The following is a 17,204-nucleotide window of genomic DNA, read 5'->3' as shown; positions in this document are numbered from 1 at the left end:
TGAACACCTGACTCATGAGAGGCTGGGAAGTCATCCAGTTTCCTCATCTCACCCCACCCAGGTCAGGCTCTCTCCTGTGACATGCTTGGGTAGAAACAGAGAACGTGCACGATCTTTCAGACTGACGCCAAAGCCCAACAGGGCTCACGCCTTTGGGAGGGTGGGGGTCATGGAATGGAGAGCTTTAAGTGCTTTTTCTGGCCTGACTGAAAACTACATGCAAATCAAAGTGAAAAAGAGAGGGGTGGGGCTGCTAACAGAATAAGTATTCAGACTTGTGGACTCCTTACGCAACCATGTAGTTTATATTGCTTTCTCCAAAGTTGAAATTCCACTTGATGAAATTCTACAGCAGAGATGAGATCATGTGGACAGCCCACAAGGGTCTATATAGCTCTTTGCTTGGGCTATACTAAGGTGAAAGATTAGAAAGTTGCCACCTCTTATCATCTTCTCAAATAGGCCTGGAGAGTAACATCAAAGTGGCCAAAAGCAGTACCAATTTTCTAAGTGACATTGCACAAAGTATGTAATCCAAGTTACAAGAATATCTGTATTTTTTTTCATGAGAGTTAACAGAAGTATTTTAGGTGGTGGTAAACGTGGCCCATGAGTCCTTCTGTTTTTTCTGAATTGGCCTTCCTGAAAAGATGATCGCTAGTGTTCTGCAGTGCAGTGTTATCAGCAAGACACAATGTACACCCCACTTCTGGTCATTTTTAAATCTAGGCCAATGCACCTGGCATCATACCTTTTCCAACTTATAAGTGACCACTTGGACCCACTGTCCTCCGATCTTAGTTGATCTTGACTTGTTTTCACTTTATCTCATTTCTCCTATTGTGAATATTTGCTTCCCACCCTGAATTCCTCTCTCTTTCTGACTATCTCTGGATTTTGCCCTTTCCTGACACCTGGATCCTGGCTCTCCTTCTAGAAGTTTAGCCCAACTTGCTTATACCACCTTCCCCTCATTCCACCATTTCCTGGGGCCCCAACTGATGCCCAGACAGATACACCTTGGCCCTGAGCCCCTGAGCACAGAAGAGGAGACCATGTTAGGTTATAATGACATTGTGAAGAACAGGACAGACATGGTCTGCCCATCACTGCCCTTTTCTTTCTTTCTTTCTTTCTTTCTTTCTTTCTTTCTTTCTTTCTTTCTTTCTTTCTTTCTTTCTTTCTTCTTTCTTTCTTTCTTTCTTTCTTTCTTTCTTTTTCTTTCTTTTATGAGACAGAGTCTCATCTGTCACTAAGGCAGGAGTGCAGTGGCATGATCTCAGCTCACTACAACCTTTGCCTCCTGGGTTCAAGACATTCTTGTGCCTCAGCCTCCCATGTAGCTGGGATTACAGGCATGCACCACCACACCCAGCTAATTTTTTGTATTTTTAATAGAAACGGGGGTTTTACCATGTTGCCCAGGCTGGTCTCGAACTCCTGAGCTCAGGCAATCCGCCTGCCTCGGCTTCTCAAAGTGCTAGGATTAAAGGCACGAGCCACCGCACCCAGCCCATCAGTGCACTTTCAACCTCGTCTACAACATCCCATCCACCACTTCTCCTCCTCTACCACAACACCTCCAAGGACAGGAAGCTTACAACTTCCTGGGACTGTCCTTTTCACTTTCTGACAACTTTATCAGAAAGCTCCAGCTGTCAACGAGCTCTCAAGCCCTGAAGTAATCTGTTTCCTGCAGAGTGCTGATGGTGTGGTGTGAACTCCAAGGCAGCTGTCATCATACACTCATTCGCCTATCGCTGGCTGAGACTCCCGCTGGAGCATGCGACATAAGTTAATCACTTCCACTTCTCACCAGCGGGGCTCCTTGTCCTTTTTCTGCCTCTGGCCATTCATGCTCAGCAGACAACTGATAGTCACAGCACTGACTGGAACATAGGCAAGATTCCGGGCCAGCCAGATATAGCCCATTATCGCTGCAGCTACAGTGTGCAAGCTCATTGAGAAGTCAGGGAACACTTTATCAATGAGGAGGCTGTCCCAGAAGCTCTGGCGTTGGGTTTCACGTGAAGGGATGAAGGTGAAGAGAAAGGCTCCAGAGATAGCAGGGCCTGCTTATCTGAAATGCTTCCCCCAGTGAAGTCAAAGTGCCACAGCCATCTCAGGTGGAAATGAACCATAGAACGTCAGAGCTGGAAGATCTCGGAGGCTTTACAGAAGGAGAAAATGAGGCCCAACGAGAGTATCTGGATTGACCAAGGTCATATAGGGAAACCATCTAAGAGACTCAGGTCTCCTACAAGAAAAGGAAGGGCTCTTTTGTCCTTTGCAAGCTGAATCAGGGTTTGAGAGGGAAGAGAAGGGTTTTTGAAGGTCTTCATGCTTTGCATGTTTGCTTTGAAAACATACAAAAGGGTTAGTAAGGAGTCAGGAATGAGCTGTTTCCTCAGAATCCCAGTTCACAACTCTCATTACTAGATGACATCTTGAACATAACCCTGAGATCCACGTGGAAGTAAATATAAATCCACTTACTTGTTGGTTTAATCTATAAATATTTATTGAGCAGAGTCTCATTCATTCCTTTAGCAGGGCCTCTTCCCAGCTGCAGAGGTGAGCTGGGCATACAGTTCTCACTTTCATGGAACTCAGGTTCTAGCCGGTGAGATGGGCAATAAACGAACAAGCGAATATAGAAAATGAGATGGGGATACATGCTGTGAAATTTTAAAATGCAGCTTAAGGGCATAGGAAGCTCTGGGGACATGGGGTTGCCATTGATAACAGGGCAGTCAAGGAAGGTATTATGGAGACGCTGATATTGAGCAGAACTCTGAAAAAATGAGGAAGCAAGTCTCGGGGCCATCTGCAAAAAGTACTGCAGGCAGGAAAACCAATGGTGCAAAGACCCTGGGGCAGGAGTGAGCTTGTCACATTTAAGGAACATCAGGGAAACCAGGGAAGCTGGAGAAAAGGGTGCAAGAAGGAGAGGGGTCAGAGATGAGGAGGGAGGGTGGAGAGTTGGTTGGGGGCAGGTCAGGTAGGGCCTTGTGCACTGCTGTTGGGACTTTGGATTTGTTCTGAGTAGATGCAAGTCACTGAAATCTTTTTAGCCAAGAAGTGACATGACCTGACTCTCCTTTCCAAAGGTTGCTGAGGCTGCACGGTTGAGAAAGAGCGGCAAGAAGGCAAAGGCAGACACAGGAGGACCACCTCTGACGATGGTGATGAATTGGACGTGGGGAGGAGTCAAGGCAACACAGAGGTTTTGGCCTGAGCTCATGGACAGACAGAGTTGTCATTTACTGGGATGGGGAAAAAAGCAGGAGGATCAGGGTGGGGTGAGAAGAGAGCCAGGAGCTTGCTTTGGGCCATGTGTAGTTTGACATATCTACAATCTCTAAGGGGAGGTTGCAGGCAGGCAGCTGAGTATAGAGTCAGTCGTCCAGGAAGGAGGTTAAGCTAGTAATACTGATTTGGGAGCTGTTGACTTACAGGAGGCATTTAAAACCTGTGTGCCTCAGAATGAACATCACCAAGGGAGTGATTGTGGTCAGAGAAGCGGAGACCCAGGCCTGAACCTGGGAGCCCCCAGCATTCAGTGGTCAAGGCAGTCAGGAGACACCAGCAAAGGGGACTGGGAAGGAGTGGCTGGCGAGGGAGGAGAAGCAGAGGAGCGGTCTGCAAGGGGAAGAGAAGGCTTCAGGAAGGTGGGGCCCACAGCTGTGTCTACTGCCGCTGATGGGCCAAGAGAGAATGAGGAGTGACTGTAGTCCCTGGGATTCAGCCACTTGGAGGCGCATAGCTGGCCTTGACAAAATATTTTGGTTGTGTAGTGGGTACAAAAGCCTGATTTTGTGACTGTGATGAGAGCAATAGGAGACAAGGGGCATGAATGATTCTTTTGAAAACTTTTATTATCAAGAGGAGCAAGGAAATGAGGACCTAGGTGGAGGGGGTTGTGGGGTCAAGAGGGAAAACGGCACTCAAAGTTTCTGAAAATGCTGTCCCTCTTCACACCTCATGTTTCCATCAGCCAGGGACCTGTGGGCTTCTGGCCACGTCCCCTCTTGCCCTCCCTCCTTATCACAACTTCACTGCCACCATCTATCTACCTTGGAGAACTTCAGGGCCCATCTCAACATTTCTGTGCAGTTTAGTTGGGAGAAAGATATTAATCAGATAAACACACCAGTAAATATAGGAAGGCAACTTACTATAAGCATAAAATGGAAAAGCAGAGTGTCCTTTGAAGGAGAATCATAGAGGGAAATGGTCAATATGAGGGGGCTTGGGGGAAGTCTCTCCAAGGAAATGGCTTGAAAGCTAAAATCTGAAGGATGAGTAATAATTCACCAAATGACAAATGATGGGAAGGGTGTTCATAAAATGTGGAACACCTGATTCTGTCACTATTCGGGGTGCCACTGTGTAACCCACACAGACCTAGGGGGACCGAACAAAGGGAGTGAATGCGGGAATAAAAGACAAGAGACAAAAGAGTGTATTTGGAAGAAGGAGTCAGGGGGCACTTTGCTTCTAGTAGACAAGGGCCCTGAGCTTTACACAGCCCTCCATATTTATTAGGCAAAAGAGATAGTGAGAAGGGGGGTGGAAGAAGGGGTCAGCTGCTCAGTCCAGAGTAGGCTTGCAAGACTGCATTCCTCGAACAACAGGCTCTAGATGTCGCAGTAGATAACCTCAGTGCCAGGGAGTGATTGCCTCCAGCAAACCTTCTGTCGGCAGGAGCAGTTGTGAGTTTGCCCACATTCTGCATTCATGATAAACAGTTTGCTGTTTGATCACATAGCCTCCAGTGGAATGCCGAATCCTACGGGCCTTCGGCTCCCTGCATATCCCCCTTTCTGTTTATGAATTAATTGAAAGAACATAAGGCCAGGCTGGGCAGCTCTCATTCTCCAATTGGCAGTCCATCTGATTTTACAGACTATAAACAGAAGACAGAGACAAAACAACATTATTCCAAGAACCACATAAAAGATGTAACTGTGGTGTGTTAGATAGTTCCAAGGGTTGAGGCTCTCCAGGCCTTGCTGGAATCCGGTCCAGTCTTCTAAAGAAGGCTCAAATTCTTGAGTTTGCCTGTTTAAATCAAGAATTTTGTTTTGTAATTCACCAATATCAAAGGTGATGTTGGATGTGAAAGCTCCCTGAAAATGGGCTTCCACAAGGTCCCACGGATACTTACTTTGGTTATATTCTAAGTTGGTTACACAAATATGAGTGTGAGTAAAATGACAACACAATTGTTGCTGCAATTGCAAGCTTTGTTCTTGTTCCCCTAACCATAGAACCATGGATTTCAACATTACCACTTCAGTTTGTAACTCAGTGTTAATTTTATTCTGAAGTAGCCACGCTTGGCTGGCTGTGCATGTCCAGTTCTCCATGTACTAAGCTGTTTGAATAGAACTATGCAAAGCTACAGAAGATATCACAACAGAAGTTATTGGTGTGATCAAGGAAACAATAGCAAAAATTATCGTGCCTAAGGCTCTATGGACACAATGAGTTAGCTGAGTTAGAAGAAGTTTTTACAAAATGCAAAGCAGGTGTGGCAGCCCAAGGCTCAGACAGATTAACGGGAATCCATAGCCCAGGGATGAGACCTAAAATCAACAAAGTAGAGATATTACATGTTTGCAATGTGCTATGATTAATGCAGTGATATAACTGGCAAGATTTATAGGTCAATTGGGTATTGTTTACCTAGAGCTGGTCCTTCTTAGCTGCCAAAAAGACATAAGGATTAAAAACACAAACTGTAAATTGAGTGGTGATACTCTTTACAAATGTAACATTAGAACTGTGTCGTGACTCCGGTTGGCCTTCTCTCCATCTTTGCACTCAGGCTTAGCTGACTCATGGCTTGTATCAGAGGGACTGGGCCCATGGTTGGCCACCCTGTGTTCCTCCAGTCTCCCATTCCATAGTCGCACGCACCTTGAGGGCACCCACACGGTTTGTCCATCTCCTGTAAAAACACAAGCATGCCTTCTTCCCCTCATCAGTAAATCCACTGGACCTTTCCATTTTCCTTTTTCCGGCGTTTTCCATAACACTTTTGGATAAACTTTCCTCTTTTCCTCTAACATTTGCCAATGTCTTTCTGCTGGAGTCTTACCATCCATACCAGCAGTCAAAAAATTTAAAGTAAATAAGGCTAAATGTAGTTTTGATTAAGGTGGTAGTTGGCCTCCTATACCCCTTTTTTGTTTTTTCAGCATGCGTTGTAATATTTGATGTGCCTGTTCTATAATGCCTTGTCCTCTAGGATTATAAGGAATTCCTGTTTTTTGGGTTATAGCCCAAAGCTGTAAGAAATTTTGAAAAGCATGACTAGATTAAGTGGGTCCCTTGTCAGTTTTTGTTTAGGTAGCCCCATATGAGCAAATGATGACAGTGTAGCTGTACATGAACAGCTGTCTCACCTGTTTGGCATGTAGCATGCAGCATATGAGAATAAGTGAAACAAATTAAGCAGTTCTGGGTCTAGTGTACTTTTAACTGTAGAAGCTTTTATGCAATGGGCTACATTTACAACATAAGCTGAATCACAGACAATGTTGACAGGATCTGAAGCTGTAAGCTGTAAAACCTGAATGACTACAATTAGCTCTGAGCATTGAGCTAAAGCACCAGGGGTCATTATTGTTTGAGTGTGTTTAGGTCCATAGATAGTGGCATGACCTTTGGAAGAGCCATCAGTAAAATAAGTCTGTCCACCTGGAATAGGCGTGTGATGAGTAATCACAAGAAGAATGAAAGAGTGGATTTTATAAAATTGTAAAATTTTGTCTAAGGGGTAGTGGTTATCTATAGCACCCACGAAATCTGCAAAAGAGTTTGCCAGGCAGTCACCATTTCCCAAGTTGCGGCTTGTTGCTGGGAGTCTAAAGGAACAATAATTTTGTCAGGATCATATCCCATAAGCATTTTTGACCTATGCTTGCCCGTAGATGCAATTTGTGTAATTAAAGAAAGAGAAATTTGCAAGGTTTTGACTGTTTGATTAGGTGGAAAGAGCCATTCTAATGGTAAGGCAGTGGGCGGAGGAGAAATATCAATGACCCCTGTCAGAAATCCTGACACCTTAGCCCTTTTCTATCTGTTTTTCCAGTTACTGATACCGGGTTAGGATTTCATTGTAGAAACCTCCCCAAACCTTTTCCACTCTGATATCCCATGTTCTTCTACATTTTAAATTCTGAGTTATCAAAGTTTTCATTTGTAAGTCTCCCATCCCATGCTGTAAGTAAGTCTCGACCCCATAAATTGATGGCTATATTTGCAACATAAAGTTGAAAAGTACATGACTGTCCATCTGGACTGAGACGAGGTAAAATCTCAGCACTCTGTTGAACACGTTGAGCTGTTCCTACTCCCACTAAGGATGTAGAAGTTAATTGCAAGGGCCAGGATGGGGGCAATTGTCTTTAGATATTACTGACACATCAGTTCCCGTATCCATAAGCCCATAAGATTTCTTTCCTTTAATTTGTACTACACATGTGGGTCTATTAGAGGCTATGGGTTGGGATAGATAGATTTCCCATGTAGTTGTGCTCCCAAACCTTTTATTTCCTCATTTCTCCTTTCATGGAGAGGGGTGTAATTTGCAGGGAACAAGCAATAATTGAGCATTATATTCTTCAGGTTCAAAAACCCAAAGATCTTGTGACATTAAAACTACTTGAATTTCTCTTTCATAATCAGAGTCAGCAACTCCTGGGACTATAGTAATGACCTGCAAGTTAAGCCGGCTTTTGCCTAAAATTAGTCCTGTGTATCCTGTTGGTAAAAGTCCCCAAATACCAGTGGGAACTTTGATAGGTTTGTCTCCACCAACTAACGTTACCTGTTCTCTGACTGCGAGATCTAATCCTGCACTTCCTGGTGTTCCTGGGGGGAGGGAATCAATGTACCTCCGGGAACCCATCCCTGAAACAGGGTTGAGGTTTGGGCTGGGAATGCCCTCATTGTTTGTGGGGCTGGGGTCCAGGCCCCCATCTCATTTCCCGACAGGGCTGTGCCAATCTGATGAAATTTTGAGCAGCACTGATTAGCCCAGTGATTTCCTTTGTTACAGCAAGGACAAAGTCCTGGCATTTTTTCCGCTGTGGGGCAGGGTGGGGGGAACTGCATTGTAAGATCCTTTCTGTCCTGAGATCTGGTGGCATTCCTTTTTTAAATGTCCAGTTTTTCCACAATTATTTTCCCATTTTAGGGTTTGACCCTTGGCTCCTTTTAGATTTGTCAACTACTAAATTAGCCATTGCTTCAGCTAACATTGAAGAGCAATGAAGCTCAGTTCCTACATCTTGACAAGTTCTGAGAAAATTTCCCATGTTTTTTGTACATCTCACAGGTGCCAGCGCACATTTACAACCTGTGTTTGCATTACGCATAGAGGTCCTAAGGGCTCTCCAGCTATGGCAGCAGAGCATAAAATTCTTTGTATTGGGGTTTCTATTTCTGCTACCAAAGGAGGCGGTACAGATGTTTCTGCAATTGGAGGAGGGAGTATAGGTCAATTCTTATCCTCCCTCTCCTGTTTTTTATTTTCAATTGGAGCTGTGGGTGGGACAACATATTCTTTCAGATTTAGATTCAGCCTGCTCTCCTGCAGAATAAGAAGAAGATAATGTCAGAAGTACAGTATGAACTGAACTCCAAGTGAAGAAAACAGAAGAATCAACTTTAAGACCTTTTTGATGAGCCCGTTTTAATCCTTCTCGTGCTCTGTCCCAATTTTCCACATCAAGAGTGCCTGCCTGGGGAAACCATGGGTTATGCATAGTAACATTTTGTGGCTTCTGCAGGAGGTTAGTTAGTGCCTGCGAATTAACCTGAGCTCCAGACTGTCTCAACAGAACTTTAAGCAGCTGCACATAATGTTTGTCTTCAACAGACAAATTCTTCCCCTTGTTAGCCTGATTCAGAAAACTTCCGGTTCCCAGCACTTCCTTAAAGCACTACTCCCAGTACCTCCTTAGGGCACTGACCTTATATCCGCTGCTGGCAGACCCGGCCCGGCATCCCTGTTCACCTTTCAATTTCAGTTCCTCTGCTCCGGCAGACCTTCTTCGTTCATGTCCTCATAGTCCCTGTGTTCGGACTGTTGCCTGTTCAAGTGCCACTTGTAGCCTGCATGGACCTAGGGGGACTGAACCAAGGGGGCGAACCTGGGAATAAAAGACAAGAGACAAAAGAGTATATTTGGAAGAAGGGGTCAGGGGGCACCTTGCCTCTAGTGGACAAGGACCCTGAGCTTTACACAGCCCTCCATATTTATTAGGCAAAAGAGATAGTGAGAAGAGGGGTGGAAGAAGGGGTCAGCTGCTCAGTCCAGAGTAGGCTTGCAAGACTGCATTCCTCGAACAAGAGGCTCTAGATGTCACCATAGATAACCTCAGTACCAGGGAGTGATTGCCTCCAGCAAACCTTCTGTCGGCAGGAGCAGTCGTGAGTTTGCCCACATCCTGCATTCATGATAAACAGTTTGCTGTTTGATCATATAGCCTCCAGTGGAATGCCGAGTTGGTCATTTCCCATGGGCCTTCGGCTCCCTGCAATAAAACTATGAGCAGTGATTGAGGACAGGACTGGAGGCAGGCTGGGCTCAGATACTGCAGGTTCTGGTAGACTGTGTTAGGGAGGCTTTTGTTGTTATTACTCATTCCAAGTACAATGGGCAGCAATTCAGTGAGCAAACTGTTATGTCTGTCGAAATGGCCCATTTTTCTGTGCTTGAAAAAGAAGGAAAACAGTCAGAAGCAAGACACTAGGCTTCCTCGAAGGAAGGAGGAGAGACGTGGGGCATCTTATCCTGGGCTCCCCAAGAAGCAGACCTTCAGTCACGGATTTGAGTGCAAGTAGTTTATTTCATGCCAATCAGTACTGTAGGGGAGTGTGAACCGAGACAGAATGCAAGGAGGCAAGAAAGGAATTGTTAACATACAACCTACCCCCGTGAGTACGTGGAGCCAGTGGAGGACACAATGATATCCTGACGTCCTCCATGACATCTTATCTGAGGTTGGGCTGGTCGAGGGCTGCAGTTGGGGATATGGCATTAGTACTCTAGGCACTTCTAGGCTGCCATGCCTGTGGTTACAGCAGGCTCCAGCAGCCAGAGGAAGCCCTCGGCAAAGAGATGCATGTGTTGGGATATAGAAGTCAGGCCAGCTTGTGTAGGAATGCTGAGACCTGGGGGATACTGCTTTCCCATATTAAGTCCACTCCCTCCTGATACTGCTTCTTTCAGGATTTTGCCTGTCACAATTTCTACAAAGAAGTTAAGAAAGAGGGTTTGTGAAACAAGCTACAGACCCCATCAATTACCATGAATTCTAAGGTCATCATTGGTGTTCATTGTCCCTGTGTGTCACTACTCATTCTGCATAGCCCTCATACTTGACCACCACTCCTGCATATGAGCTTGCTGGTCTGCTGAGGTAACTGGGTCATCATCCCTAGAGGTTTGAAGCCCTGGTCACTGTGCACTGGGCAGACTATCATTGCTGCAATTGCCCATAAGTGTTGTCATTGGGCTGTGAAACACCAAAATGAGCCCCACTGAATCCCCTGAGCTTTGGGGCATCCTCTTCTCTGACCCCACTATCTAGCAGCAGTGCTATTTCCTCATGATAGGCAGAATCTGATATTCCTACAAGTGTAAGAACTCCTTTCTTTGCCTACTGCTCTGTTGGCATGAGAAACCTAAAATGACAAGGAGCAGCTACAGCTTTAGGCATCCCTGGGATAAGTATCTTCTCCCCATCAACCCCAGACATGCTGAGGGACCAGCATTACTGGTCCAGTGGAGCCTAAAGTTAAAGGTATTCTTGAGATGAGTCACTGTGTACAATGGTGATGGGGCCACTTTTATTTCCACTGCTTGTTTCCCATGTAGTCTATCTGATGGGGCTCCAGCTCCACATAATGCCTGCTGTTTTGAAGTGCACGTTGCTTCTCAAAAGTCAGCACCCCAAAAGTGAAAATGGCAGAATAGGGAACTACAAAAGCCCATCCCTCCACAAAAGGAGAAAATAAACTGGCAAAAGCAGTCAGAATCAACTTTATTGGAAATTGGGAAACTAACTAAAAGTTGACAGCAACCAAGACAATATTTAATCAAGAAAAAAACAAAAAACCACCAGAATCTTGATAATAGAGCTTCATGGTATTTAAATTACCCTGGCTCAGCAGTGGCCTTGAAGATAACAACCAACAACCCATATTCCTTGTATAGGCTCCTAGTACATAAGGGACAGAATCGACCTAATTTCCAAATAACTTTGGTTGTTTGTTTTGACCTGTCTTGTGGCTCCCTGAAGAATTGACTCATTGCTGAGATCTCCAAGGGCTAAGGCAGCTACTCAAGGGGAATTTGTTGAAAATTTTAAAAGGCAAATGTAACAGCTGCTGCCACTTGGGGCAATAGATAACGGTTGGGACAAACTAAAGACAAACCAAAAGGTTGGGAAAAAGGAGCGGGGATTAAAACACATTGGGAAATAAAGGCTTTGAAAAGCTCTCACATATTTGTGGGAATCTAGAAGCCTGCTTGCATGCCCAGAAATGGGTGCATGCTCAGGAAAGACCTGAGAAGTTTTCACTTCTGGCTGACCTCAAGGCTCTCCACAAGGAGGAAGTGAAGACTAAGGCAGAGTGGTAAAGTGCTTCTCCAGGTGTTGAAGGTATACTCCAGCATGCACATAGAGTCCATTTGCTGACACCGAGAGATTTTATTTTCTTTTTTTGTTCCAGGCAAAGAATACATGTCTGTATTTAAATCACCAGCTGACCACTAGGCTAACAAAACAAAGACTTCAGTGGCTATATACAACAACAAATAAAGTCTTTTCAAAATTAATTAAGGAAAGAGAACTAAGCAATCAAACAACAACAATCACAAAAAGCAGCTGCAATAAACCCTGGTGGGAGGAAGATGATTTCCAGATGTGCCATATCATAATATTCAAAATGTTCAGCTTTCAACAAAAAATTATGAGTCATGCAATGAAACGAGAAAGTGTAGCCCATACACAGGAAATAAAGAAATAATAGAAACAGTTCTTGAGGAAGACAAGACATTGAACTTACTAAACAGAATATAAACCAACTATTTAAAATATACCCAAAGAGCTAAAGGAAACTATGTACAAAAAACTAAAGGAAATAATGAGAATTATATTTCAAAAAAATAGAGATTACCAATGATGTGATAGAAATTGTAAGGGGAACCAAGGAGAAAATCTAAAGTTGAAAACTACAATAATTAAAATAATTTTTTTTCAGAGAGATTCAACAGCATATTTGAACAAGTAGAAGAAAGAATCAGCAATCTTGAAGAAAGGTCAATTGAGATTACTCAGTATGAGGAGCAGAAAGGAAAAAAATAAAGAAAAACGAATGAAGCCTAAGATACCTGAGGTACACTTTCAAGAGTACCTAGGAGTTTCAGAAGGAGAGGAGAGGAAAGAAAAGGAGAGGAGAGAGGAGAGAGAGAGAGAGAGAGAGAGAAATAATAGTTGAAGTAATAAAGGCCAAAATTTGCCAAATTTGATCAAAGACATGAATATACACATCCAAGGACCTCAAGTCTCAGTGAAACACTTCATAATCAAACTGTTGAAAACCAAAGACAGAATCCTGAAAGCAGCAGAAGAGAGGTGATTCATCACATACAAGGCATCCTTAATAAGAAATACAGCTGGTTTTTTATCAGAAACGAAGGAGGCCAGAAGACAGTGGGATGACTTACTCAAAATATTGAAAGAATAAAATGGTTAACCAATACTTTTATATCCAGGAAAAATATTCTTCAAAAATGAAAGAGAAATGAAGACATTTCCAGATAAAGAAAAACTGAGAGAGTTCATTGCTAGTAGACCTGCCCTGCAAGAAGTGTAAAGGAGGTCGTTCAGACTGAAATGAAAGGACACTAAAAAGAAACTTGAATCTACATGGAGAAATGAAGAACACCAGTATAGGTAATCATGTAAATAAATAGAAAAGTCAGTATAAAGGCATTTGTGGTTTGTAACTCCTCTTTTTTTCTATATGATTTCAAAAATAACTACATAAACAAATAATAATAAATATACATTGATGGGCACATGATGCATAAAGATGTAACTGATGACAGTAACAACATAAGCAGATGGGAGAACAGAATACAGAAGTAATGTTTGTTATACTATTGAAATTAGTTGGTACTAATTTGAACTTATCTAATTGTTATAAATTAATTGTAATCCCCAGGCAACCACTAAGAAAATAACTAAAAAGTATATAGTAAAATAAACGAGAAGGAAATCAAAATGGCATATGGAAAATATTTATCTAACATAAAAGAAGGCAGCAATGAAATGAAATTGAGGGACAAAAAATATGAGATATAGAAAAAATAGCAAAATGGCAGGAGTAAGGCCCTCTCCATCAGCAATTACATTAAATGTAAATGGTTTAAACTCTACAATTAAATGACAGATTTTTCAGAATGGATTAAACAAACAAACCATGATCAAACTCTACACTGTCTCCAAGGACATGAATTGAATGAAAGTGAGAGAACAGAAAAAGGCAACACATGCAAATAGTAACTGAAAGAGAGTTGAAGTGGCTACACTGATATCAGACAAAATAGACTTTAAGGCATAAATTGTCACAAGAGACAAAGAAGGACACTATATAATGATAAAAGGGTCAATCCATCAAGGATATATACAAATTACAAACATATATCCACCCCAAAAAAGAGACCCAAAATATATAAAGCAAAAACTGACAGAATTGAAGGAAGAAATAGACAGCTCTACATATTCTAGATATTTCAACACCTCACTTTCAATGACGGATAGAAAAACTAGATGAAAGATAAACAAAGAAATAGGAGACTTGAACAAGTTTATAGTGTTATAACTATAACACTATAATTATAGTTATAGTTATAAACCAACAAGACCTACCACATATACAAAACACCCAAGGACAACAAAGTACATATTCTTCTCAAGTGCACATGAAACATTCTCCAGGTAGAACATATGTTAGGTCACAAAACAAGTTTTAATAAATTTTAAGATTGAAATCATAAAATGTATATTCTCCAATCTCAATGGGATGAAATTAGAAATGAATAACAGAAGAAAAACTGGAAATTTCACAAGTATGTGGAAATTTAAAAACACACTCTTAAATGACCAATGGTTCAATAAAAAAATCACAAGGGAAATTAAAAAATACTCTGAGATAAATGAAAATAAAAACACAATAAAAAATTATGGGATGCAGTGAGAGCAGTGTGCAGATGGATATATATATAGCTGTAAATGCCTACATTAAAGAAGAAAGATCTCAAATAATCTAACTTTATACCTTAAGGAAGCAGAAAAAGAAGAGCAAACTAAATCAAAGCAAGCAGAAGGAGGGAAATAATGAAGATAAGAGCAGAGATACATGAAATGGAGTAGAAACAATAAAGAGAATCAATGAAATTAAAAGTTGGTTCCTTGAAAAGGTGTTTTAAAATTGACAAAACTTTAGCTAGATTACCTAAGCAAAAACAGAGAAGATTCACATTACTCAAAAAGCAGAAATAAAAGTGGAGACATTACCAACGACCTTACAGAAATAAAAGAGTATAAGCAAATAATACGAATAATTGTACACCAACAAATTAGAAAACCCAGATAAAATGGACAAATTCCTAGAAACATACAGACTACCAAAATTAACTCAAGAAGAAATAGAAATGCTGAATAGACCTATAACAAGTAAAGAGATGAAATTAGTAATCAAAGAACTTTTAACAAAGAAAATCTCAGGACCAAATAGCTTCATTGGTGAATTCTACCAAATGTTTAAAGAAGAATTAACATGAATGTTTCTCAACTCTTTCAAAAAATAGAAGAGGCAGAAACACTATTTAACTCATTTTATGAGGCCAAAATTACTCTGATACCAAAGTCACACACAGACATAACAAGAAAAAAAAAGTAGAGGCTCATATTCTATGAATATAGATGTAAAGATCTTCAACAGAATACTAGCAAACTGATTCTAGCAGCATGTTAAAAAAATTATACCCTGGCCAGGTGCGGTGGCTCATGCCTGTAATCCCAGCACTTCGGGAGGCCAAGGCGGGCGGATCACGAGGTCAGGAGATCGAGACCATCCTGGCCAACAGGGTGAAACCCCGTCTCTACTAAAAATACAAAAAATTAGCTGGGTGTGGTGGCATGTGCCTGTAATCCCAGCTACTCAGGAGGCCGAGGCAGGAGAATCACTTGAACCTGGGAAGTGGAGATTGCAGTGAGCTGAGATCACGCCATTGCACTCCAATCTGGGCGACAGTGTGAGACTCCATCTCAAAAAAAAAAAAAAAAAAAAAGAGCTAAGTACTCAAATAGACATTTCAGGAAGATATAGAAATGGCCAATAAGCACACGAAAGATGGTTATCTTCATTAATCATTGGAGAAACACCAATCAAAACTACCACAAGGCTGGGCACGATGGCTCATGCCTGTAATCCCAACATTTTGGGAGGCCAAGGTGGGCCAATTGCTTAATCCCTGGGCTCAAGATCAACCTGGGTAACATGGCAAAACCCTGTCTCTACAAAAAAAATGCAAAAATTAGCTGTGCATGGTGATGTGCACCTATAGTTCCAGCTATAGGTGCCAGGGCAGGAGGACCACTTGAGCCCAGGAGTTTGAGGCTGCAGTGAGCTGTGATTGTGCCACTGCTCTCCAGTCTGGGTGACAGAGTGAGACCTTGTCAAAAAAAAAAAAGGAAAGAAAGAGAGGGAGAGAGGAAGGAAAGAAGGGAGGGAGGGAGGGAGGGAGGGAAGGAGGAAGGAAAGGAAGGAAGGAAGGAAGAAAGGAAGGAAGGAAGGAAAAGGAAGGAAGGAAAAGGAAGGAAGGAAGGAGGGAGGGAGGGAGGGAGGGTGTGTGAGATATCACTGCCCAGCTCCTAGAATGGCTATGATTTTAAAAACAAAAAATAACAAATGTTAGCAAAGATGTTGAGAAACTGGAGGGAGGAATGTGAAATGGTGCTGCTGCTGGGAAAAAGAGTTTGGCTATTCTTCAAAAAGCTAAACAGAATTACTATATGAGCCAGCCATTCTGCTCCTAAGTACATACCCCAAATAACTGAAGACAGGTGTTCAAAGAAAAAGTTCTACAAGAATTTCATAGCAGCACTATTCACAACAGCCAAATGAATAAACATAATATTGTATATCCACACAATAGGACATTATTCAGACATAAGAAGGAATGAAGTACTGATTCATACTTCAACTTGGATAAAGACGTTTTGCTAAGGGAAGGAAGACAGACACAAAAGGCCATGACTTGTGTGATCTCATTTATATGAAGTGTCCAGAACAGGTGAATCTATACAGACAGAAAGCAAATTAGCTGTTTTCTGGGGCTGAGGAGAGGGGAAAATGGGAATGACTGCTGGATGAGTCTAAAGTGTCTTTTGAATGAATGAAAATGTTCTGGAATTAGATAGTGGTGATGGTTGCACTATCCTGTGAATGCACTAAAAGTCACTGAATTGTGTATTTTAAAATGGCTAAAATGGTGAATTTTATGTTATACGAATTTTACCTCAATGAAAAACAGTATAGCATGCCAACCGTGCCAGGTATCTCCCCTAGGCAGGCTCCTTAGCTGTGCTTCTAGCAAAGAGCCAGCAAGCAGCTTCTGCTGATGCCTTCCTTGGAAAAACCTGTCTGTTCTGTGGCCATGTGCCCACTTTCATACAGCTTTTGCCATGCACTGGGTCCCTTGGTGTAAGAAGAGGTGATACGGAATCCTAGGAAGGTAAATCAGATCCTTTGTGAGTTCTCAGACGGTGGTGCTGGTCAATGCACTGTTGGTGGGAAAGTCAACGAGGAGAAGCGGGGCCAAACGGCCTGAACTGTGAAGGCCTGAAGGGATAAGGCCAGGTGTCAACAGCGCATATTTCAAAAAAAGAAGTTCGAACTCAAGAAAATTTTCCCGGCCGCACACTGTGGCTCACGCTCGTAATCCCAGCACTTTGGGAGGCCGAGGCGGGGGGATCGCGAGGTCAGGAGATCGAGACTCATCCCGGCTAACACGGTGAAACCCCGTCTCTACTAAAAAAAAATTCAAAAAATTAGCCGGGGGTGGCGGCAGGCCCCTGTAGTCCCAGCTACTCGCGAGGCTGAGGCAGGAG

The 17,204-nt window shown here is 42.6% G+C and overlaps 1 long non-coding RNA gene across 1 annotated transcript, besides 2 other annotated features; it reads right to left on the bottom strand.

Moving 5' to 3' along the window:
• Nucleotides 1–116: a transcriptional cis regulatory region, noted in NCBI's record as "candidate enhancer chr3.771 targeted for multiplex CRISPR interference". NCBI's record gives its function as "positively regulates SLC6A6 gene expression with high confidence in K562 cells {active_cell/tissue: K562}" and the evidence as "EXISTENCE:mutant phenotype evidence [ECO:0000015][PMID:30612741]".
• Nucleotides 1,403–2,267: a transcriptional cis regulatory region, noted in NCBI's record as "candidate enhancer chr3.770 targeted for multiplex CRISPR interference". NCBI's record gives its function as "positively regulates LSM3, SLC6A6 and XPC gene expression with high confidence in K562 cells {active_cell/tissue: K562}" and the evidence as "EXISTENCE:mutant phenotype evidence [ECO:0000015][PMID:30612741]".
• Nucleotides 4,465–9,904, bottom strand: LOC105376958 (uncharacterized). Its single transcript, XR_940606.3, has 2 exons — nucleotides 8,988–9,904; nucleotides 4,465–4,909 (listed from the first exon to the last, which is right to left on the bottom strand). It is a non-coding gene; the product is annotated as an uncharacterized LOC105376958 (long non-coding RNA).
• Nucleotides 9,905–17,204: the final 7,300 nt, after the last annotated feature.

The sequence above is a fragment of the Homo sapiens genome, chromosome 3, assembly GCF_000001405.40.
Source record: "Homo sapiens chromosome 3, GRCh38.p14 Primary Assembly".
Lineage (NCBI taxonomy): Eukaryota > Metazoa > Chordata > Mammalia > Primates > Hominidae > Homo > Homo sapiens.
Note: the sequence above shows the minus strand (reverse complement) of the source record. Positions and strands in the feature narration are given on the sequence as shown.